General features: G+C 45.9%; 2 annotated features.

The window, feature by feature from the left end:
* Positions 2,415 to 3,614: an enhancer, noted in NCBI's record as "BRD4-independent group 4 enhancer chr7:155661375-155662574 (GRCh37/hg19 assembly coordinates)". NCBI's record gives its function as "activates an origin of replication core promoter dependent on BRD2, P300/CBP, MED14 and CDK7 cofactors, and independent of BRD4, by STARR-seq in HCT116 cells {active_cell/tissue: HCT116}" and the evidence as "EXISTENCE:reporter gene assay evidence [ECO:0000049][PMID:35650434]".
* Positions 8,162 to 8,211: an enhancer, noted in NCBI's record as "active region_26904". NCBI's record gives its function as "activates an Ori minimal core promoter by ATAC-STARR-seq in GM12878 lymphoblastoid cells {active_cell/tissue: GM12878}" and the evidence as "EXISTENCE:reporter gene assay evidence [ECO:0000049][PMID:35858748]".

Below are 8,791 nucleotides of genomic sequence, written 5' to 3' on the forward strand. Positions count from 1 at the left end.
GCAGGACCTGACGTGGATGGAAGCCGGTCCAGGCGGCAGAGTGGGGGAAGCACAGCCTTGGACGGAACGGGAGACTGGGTGTGGCTGCTTCCCAGGTGGGGCAGATCTGAGCTGCAGGTGTGGCCACAGGTGTTGTGGGAGCAGCGAGTGGAAACGGAGGGGTCGCCAGTCTGTCTTGGGGATGCTCCTGGCTCTTCCCCTGGCCTGTGGGTCTGCCTCCCATCCCCGGCCCACTGCCAGCCCCAAGTGAAATGCAGGTGGCAGGTTTGCAGGAACAGGATTTTTACCATAGACATGGACAGACTTCCTGTGGAATTTCAGGATGCCTTTCCCAGCCTGGCATTTTTGGGACCCCGGTTTCAGGGGTGAGCTCCTTGTGGGCCAGTCGTTAAGCGCCACACTTGCACACAAAGTACCTGGTTAACCAATCAGCCCATTCAGGAGACAAATGGCAGGAAAACAGGTCTGTGTCCAGGTAAAACCCCCATTTGCCTTCCTAGAAGTCCACCTAATTCTCTGTCTTAAGTATTAATGACATAGAATCATAGAATCTTCAATACATAAAGAAGACCTACTAGCAGCACAAAAGAGGAAGATCAGAATAAATAAGGATAACTACCCCAGACAGAAAAGAAACAATTCTGGGATTGTAAATTAATTTCAAAATGAAATATTTTGAAGTATTCTTCAAGCACGTACTGCATTTGAAAGAAAGAACAGATATTATGAAACCCTGAGAAAGAATATTCAGAAATAAAAACAAAAGGATTGTAAAACAAATCAAAGAGGAGTTGGGAGGTAAGTTGAGGAAATTTCCAGAACACAGAGTAAAATAGGAACTATGAGAAAAATGACAAAAAACATAAAAGATCAATTCAGGAAAGAAAAATATCAGACTGCAATATTTCTTGAAAGAACAGAGAAAAAATGGACAAGAAAATTATCAAAGAAGTAATATATGAAACTTTCAAGACCTGAACAGAGACACAAATTTTCAAAATAACAGGAACTCACTGAGTGACCAGCATGATAAGTGAAAAAAGACCTGCATATCTTGATGAAATTTTAGAAAACTAAAGATAAAGAAAAGCATAGAGGACCTTGCAAGGAGGGGGAATTGGGCCATCCACAAAGGGATGAAATTCAGCCAGTGTTTTCATAAGCAGCCGCATCAAGGTCAAGTATGATTCAGCACAAGGGCAAGGTGAACGCATTTTGTTTCTGATAGGCCTTTGCTGAAAATGCTACCTGAGGATATATTTCAGAAAGTCAATAAAGATAAGGTAAGGCAAACAAGAAACAGAGGCACTACCCTGGGAGTTCAGGGAAAATGCCTTCAAGAATGATGTTATACTGTAGCCTCAGAGAGCAACAGAGCCCAGTTAGCACACGAAGTCAGTGGGCATTAAGAGGACCCCATAAAACAAAACTGGATTATGTCATAGATTGAAAAAGGAGCTGGGAGATAGTAGTGGCATGTGGAAGAAGAAATGCTTCTTCTCTAACATAGTAAGGTCTGTCAATTGGGGAGCTTTTGGCTGCAAGTAACACATCATCTGCCTGAGAGTGGCTTAATCCATGAGCGCATTTATTATTCACTTAACAGAACTCCAGAGACGGGTCATCTCTGAGTTGGCTCAGAAGCTCAAAGACATCATCAAGGACCTGGCTATTTCCACTGCACTGTTTGGCCATGCTCAGCACGAGGACCTTTTGTTCTCCAGCTTGTCACCTCATGATGAGCAGGTGGCTCTCATATTTTCAGGCACAGTGTACCCATACTGCATTCAAAGGCAAGAAAGGAGCAATGAGGGTGGGTGGAGAAGGTCTTTCCTCTTGTCACAAAGGAAAAACTTCCAGAACTTTCCGGCAGACCTTTTCTTAGGTCTGTTTGGCCACAGGAGGGTCCTATGTGCACCTCCAGCTGCCAGATGGGATGAGAAGGTGCGTATCTGGCAAAATGAAGCAGAATGGTTATGATTGGCTTCAACTTAAAATAAATGGGTGATGAGGCCCCACTCCAGGACATCTTGTCCAGCTGGCATGGAGTGGCACTTGGGCATGTGTGGTCATATAAAGTTTCCTGGGTGATGCTAATCGGTAGATTTGAGACCCACTGACTGGACTATTTGTGACTCCTGAGGCTGGCATATTGTCACCTGAACAAGTCAAGTTCTGTTTAGCCAGAAGGAAGAGGGAGGGCATACCAGCTAGGCAGGACTAATAATAATGTCTAGGAAAAGCCCCAAAACAGTACAAAAAAGCCATGTTCCAGGTAGGAAGATGATACCGAGAAACTGGTGGAGCACAAGAAGAGGGAATCCATTCAACTCTGATGCTGGGACCCTTCTCCCTTGAGTGGCAGAAGATCTTAACATTGGATCTATAGAGAAAAAAATTTTACTGTACTACTTGGCCCTGGAAGGAACAGTTTTATACAGTCATAATCACATAAATGCATTCATTCTTTTTAAAAAATTATTTTTCTTTTAGAATCAACCTGGGAATAAAGCCCGGAAGACTTGGTTGTGGCTTCAAGATAGAATGCTGTTGATACGATTCCCCACAATGAAAAGGTAAAGTGATAACTGATGGAAGTAGGGTGGCAGAAGGAGAGCCAGGAGGGCAGAGGAAGACTGCTTTACTGCCACCCTGATGCACATGGTGGAAAGCCAAGAGATACCTTTAATGTCGGTGGAAGAAATGGAAAATATCATCTAAATTTGCAAAGGTAAGTAATAGAAAAAAAAAAACACAGCTGGCACCTATTGTTCAAGGGGTAGTGAGAAGTGTGTAAGTGAGGAAAGCTTCACCTTCCTAACCTGCAGTCAACAGATAGTTTCTAAAGCGGAGACATAGGTCTTGTATCGAACAGGACAGACGAGCTTCTGCTGTGTAACAAACAACCCCCAAAGTCTTAGTCACAGAACAAGACTTATTTAGCAACACAACAAAGCACATTTCTAGCTCTTGTTAATGGTGGGACAGTGACCCCAGGCCTGGGGATGGGGGTGGGTGGTGGTGTAGGCCCTGCCAGTGGTTTCTGGCTTCAAGGGAGCCACAGGAAGCAGCTTCAGCTGCATTTAGGATCCGAGCTGCTCAAGCGGGAGGTTTGGGGCCTTGGCAGAAATCCAGGAACAGAGCGTATGACTTGGTCTCCCTTCTTCTACACGACTCCTTGGATTCTTTGGCATCTTGGCCAGCCATACCTTGGCTGTCCGTTTGGATCTGTAGAGTAAATTCAGTTTGATATTAGGCCTTTCTCAAAGACAGGCATCAGCCCTAGGGTGGAGTGGGATAGAAGTTTCCTCTAAAGGTCTCAGGAGCCCAGAGTTTGCTGTGTGGAGTGTGCCTCGAGGGTCCTGGTCTGCCTGTCACCTCCCTATGGAGCTCCTGAACTCATGAAATACAGCCAGCAAAATAGTCCTCAGGGCCCAGCCTCTCTTCAGTGCACAGGCATAACTTGGTTTATAAATATTACATGGAGTTGTTCATGCACAGCTGGGGGAGAATAGGCCCCCACTGTCGGGCTCTGTCCATGGCCTTGTATTAATTAACTCTGATTTTGCAGGGAATGGACCTGCAACCGTGCACCCTGAGGGCTGTGATCTTATCGGGATTGGGTGAGCTCACAGGCTCGTGGCAGGGATGGAGGGAACGGGGAACGGAGGCATCCGGCGGCCATACCTGGGTCTTCTCGGGGCCTGGACCTGCCGCACTTCTCTGGGGAGGGGCTTTCACAGTCTCCTCGTCCACCCCGTTGGAGATCCTCCTCATGGGCCAGGGTCACCATACGTGGGCACCAACCTTCCCAAACTGATCCTTCTCATGGGCCAGGGTCGCCATGCGTGGGCACCAACCTTCCCAAACTGGAACATCTCCAATGACTCCCCTTTCCTTAAAAGAGTTTTGAAGATCAATAAAACATATTTTTAAAATTAATAAAAAATGTGCATTGATTCAGCTTGTCTTCTCTTAGGGGGTGGTGGTGAAGGGGAGAGTAGTGTTTTTCAGATGTGGACAGCTTCATTTTGTCCAAAGTTGACTCCTGAGCAAGGCGTTCAGAGCCCTCCGTAGGAGCCCCAGCCCTGAGTTCCACGTGGTATCTCGGCTTACCCTTTCTAACTCCACCCACTGCTCCCGGTGGCTGTTCTGGGCACTCCCTCTGCCTCAAACACCCCACACGTGCTTCCTCTTTGCCACCCGGGTTGAGCTCATCCTGTCTCAGGCCTGGAATGCTGTCTCCTCTCCTCCTCCATCTGATCCTCCAAGCCAGGCACAAATGCCCCACCTTTAGCCACTGTTCGTAGCCGGCCTGCTGTCCCCTCCTGGGAGCTCCTGAAACACCACACAGCACCTGAGGACGAGCTCCCCAGACCCAAGCATAGCCAGGACCTGCCTCCCCTGGTCTCTTCCCCTTTGCTGTGGGCAGTTGAGGCTGTCTGCCGGTGGGGCGGGGCAGGATAGGGCCCCCAAACTCCTGTACTAAATCTGAGCTCTTGCCTGCCACCACTTCACCCAACGGACTATTTCTCTTAACAACCATTTGCCTTGCAGGAATTTTTGTTTACTGTGTTCACTTGCCCTGTGTTAGTTTGCTAGAGCTGCCATAAGAAAGCACTGCAGACAGGAGGCTTCAGCAACAGAAATGTATTGTCTTACAACCCTGGAGGCTGGAAGTCCAAGATCAAGATGTGAGCAGGGTTGGCTGCTCCTGAGGCCTCTCTCCTTGGCTTGCAGATGGCCATCTTCTCCCTGTGTCCTCACATGGCCGTCTCTGTGTGTGTGTCTGTGTCTTCTTATGAGGACGCTAGTCGGATTGAATTAAGGTCCAGCCAACTGTCTCATTTTAACTTGATTCCCTCTTCAAGGGCCCTTTCTCAAATGTGGTCACATTCCGAAGTCTTTGGGATAAGGAGTTCAAGATATACATTTTGGGGGAACACAGTACAGGACAAAACACCCTAAAAAGAAGAACCATATTGAAACTGTTTAAAGAAACTTTCCGAAAAATAAGAAAAAGGACCGGAAGCTTTTCAGAATGGATGGAAAAACTGTCTGAGGCCAACAGGTCTCCGGTGAATGAGCCTCCCAGGCCCCCATCTGGGCTCTCTGAGCTCAGCGGCGGGAAGGGGGTCACTCCTGTTTCACAAGGGAGGAGGCAGGTCCAGAAACGGGCATGGATAACAGAAATTCTGCCTGTTATGATGCAGAACACAGGCCTATCATTCTTCTCAAACCATCGCATCCTTTTGCTTGGACTATGGCAGCTGCAGTATTGATGAGATTTGGAATCCTCTTTCTCCTTCTTCTCCAAATGTGGTAGATTTCTCAGGCAGGAGAGGCCTGACTGCCTTGTTCTTGAGGCCTCCTTGGGACCTCTCTTTTGCTACCAGGGAAGACACAGGTGCGGCACCAGGTTACGCATTCCTTCCAGCCCTCAGAGCCGCCGGTCCCTGTTAATCTGTCTTCACCATTTCTAGATAATTGGCCCAGGGTTCATGTTGCTAAATTATAATTCCCTGGACTGGAATCCAAGAACATTTTTGCCCAGAACAGTCACTGAGTCCCAAGGATGAGATTCTGAAGAGCAATAACAGGTATACTGTCCTCTCAGCTGGCAAGCACACCTATTAGCTTAGTGCAAAAGTAAGTGCGGTTTTTGCCATTAAAAGTAACAGCAAAAACTGCGATTACTTTTGCACCAACCTAATATTTTTATTTACAGCTTCACATTTTCTTAGTTCAGAAGATAATGTTATTTTTGTCCTGAAAAATTCAGCCTTCCTATTAATAACAAATGCAAACCCATGGCCATATCCTGCCTCTGTTCCGTGCTCAGATCGATGGCAGGATATAGCTTGAGCTATATGTGTATTTTCTTTACTGATGAAACATTCCATTTAGGGATGTTTAATATTATTTAGTTATGATGTGTCCAGAGTGGCCGAAAAATGTCCCAATATTTTTTAGCCTCTTTGCTTGGTTACCACCGTGCAAACATGATCCAGGGGAATTTTAGTCCAGTTTTTGTAGAATAAAAATTTTGGAGGTTAAAAAAGATCCTGTTGTGGGGTGGGGGGAGGGGGGAGGGATAGCATTAGGAGATATACCTAATGCTAAATGACGAGTTAATGGGTGCAGCACAGCAACATGGCACTTGTATACATATGTAACAAACCTGCACATTGTGCACATGTATCCTAGAACTTAAAGTATAATAATAATAATAATAATAATAATAATAAAAGATGTTAAGATCATCTGCTCCTACAGCCTTATTGTAGAGATAAAAAGAACTGAGGCCCAGAGAGCTTAAAGAGCTTAAGTTCATCGTTAGCAGCAGAATCAGTGCTAGAACCCAGGGACACTTTCTCAATGTGAAATTTCCTCTTTGCTGATACTGCCTCAGCTAAAACATGGATTCATGGGGTTTGTTGTTCTCCCGCTTTGAGGGCTGTTCTGTGGCCCTGGCCCGCGGTCCAAGACTAAGTGATGCAAAGGCAGAGCCTTGAAAGTGAATTGTTTGCATGACCTGATTTCCTTCAGTCTGGTCATTGCAGTGGCAAATCACAGCGCCTCAATTTCCACTGGTTAACTCCGAGTAACTTCTCTTTGGCAATTACCCGGCTGCCTGTGCTAGTATTGGTACTGGCGTCTCATTTGTGCACAGGGCTGGAACTGATTGACTGTATTGAGGAATTAAGGAAGAAAAATAGAGCCATACTTGAAGAATCAAATGAGACGTTTAAGAAAACAGCAGCCCCGCCCATGTCATCCCCCAAAGTCTTCCTTTGTACAACTCCAGTAGGAAACGATCTTGGCACAATCTGAAAATATGCACGAGCCCACTGCTCTTACCACGAGCAAAGGCACATCGATCTCGTGCTGCTTCTATTGATTTAATGTCACCTCTGTGATGTAATCATGTTTTCTTTCCTATCTGTTTGCAGTCTTTTCTTCTGTTGTCTGCCATGAGGCAGCCAAGGCCTTTCAGCTTCTGAGCTGGTCAAAATAACTTTGTCTTCCATTTGCATTGTTTTTAAGAAATGATTACACTGACTCGGGTAGGGCCTTGGTGGATAGCATGATGAGGAGTGCATAATGCCATGTGAAAACTGCAGGCACCAACCTTGGGGTCCCAGCTACGATGCTGGCGCTAACCTTGGGGTCCCAGATATGATGCTGGCGCTAACCTTGGGTCCCAGATATGATGCTGGCGCTAACCTTGGGGTCCCAGCTGCAATGCTGGTGGGAGTCAGGCCTCAGAGGAGCTTCTTTCTGCTCAGCCATGAGGGAGGCATTGGCTTCATGCATGGGTGATGCTCCCCTTTCTTTCTTTCTTTCTTTTTCTTTCTTTCTTTCTTTCTTTCTCTTTCTTTCTTTCTTTCTTTCTTTCTTTCTTTCTTTCTTCTTCCTTTCTTTCTTTCTTCTTTCTTTCTCTCTCTCTCTCTTTCTGTCTTTCGTTCTTTCTTTCTTTTTTTTTGAGACAGGGTCTTGCTCTGTTGCCTTGGCTGGAGTGCAGTGGTGTGATCATAGCTCACTGCAGCCTTGAACTCCTGGGCTCAAGTAATCCTCCTGCCTCAGCCTCTCTAGTACCTGGGACCATAGGTGCATGCTACTATGCCTGGCTGTGAGTGATGGCTCTTATTCCACTTCTCTCTCTTCTTAGATCGTGGACGTACGTGGCTATTGTTGATCATGTTGGAGATGGTGAAAGGTAGAAAGAACGACACAAACCCATATCCAAAATTAAAAGCTCCTTTGGATTTGGTAGGGACAAGTCTATGGGGCTTGAAATTAGTCCAAAAAGGCACATGGAGATGCACTTTGTTTTACAACAGGTTTTAGTTCCTAGGGTGACTTTCGTGCACAGCACCTGCTTGTCAGCAGTGAATGGTGGCAAGCAGGCAGCGGCAGTGGCAGACCAGGGAGACAGATACTTGCTTAGAAGCCCCCGTTTTCTGATGGCAAGAGCTGTTCGTGAGTTTCAGCTCTCAACCATGGAGGCTGTGCTTTCTGCCAGCATGTGGGCAGAGAAAACGGCTCTGACACACTCAAGTACATTTGTTTATGGCGATGGTGATGAGATTTCTATTGGAGACTTCATGGTTTGAGAGCATTACTAAGATTTTAAATAGTGCCTTTTTGAAAGAAAGTTTTTATTTTTTTCAGAAGAAGTTGATGTAGAAATAGAGAGAGATAGAGATGGGGATGGAGAGGGAGAAAGAGGAAGAGAAACAGAAAGAGAAAGGAGGGAGAGAGAGAGAGAGAGAGCACAGGAGTGCACCCCTCTCTGGTGCTAGTCAGTGTCCTAGGACTGGCCTGGAGGCCCAGACCCTGAAAGGTTCATTGGCTGTGTGGTCCTGACTGTGTCATCCTCCTGAGCTGGGACCACAGGACTCTGGTGACTTGCCACTTTGGCTGTGCGTGTCCGTGTCTCTGTTCACATTCCCTCTGCCTTCCCATCTACCTCCAACTATTGAGATCCGGATCTGCTCATATGCTATGTCAGCCTTGACCAAAAGTTTTAGCCCCAATCCTAAACTTTTTGGAAATTAAGAATCATTCAACAAAATAAGTGGCATTAAAGCAAGAATCAAAATGGCACTTGCTGTTTAGTTAGTATCGATAGAATCCTGCTTATGAGCTATTACAGGAGTGGTCAAAACAGTATTCGTGAAAATATATGGAGTTAACATTTATTATTCATTCATTACCATATTATTCATTCATATTATTGCTGTATTATTCATTTATTACCATATAGGAAAAAACATAGATAGATATG

The sequence above is a fragment of the Homo sapiens genome, chromosome 7 (genome assembly GCF_000001405.40).
Source record: "Homo sapiens chromosome 7, GRCh38.p14 Primary Assembly".
Lineage (NCBI taxonomy): Eukaryota > Metazoa > Chordata > Mammalia > Primates > Hominidae > Homo > Homo sapiens.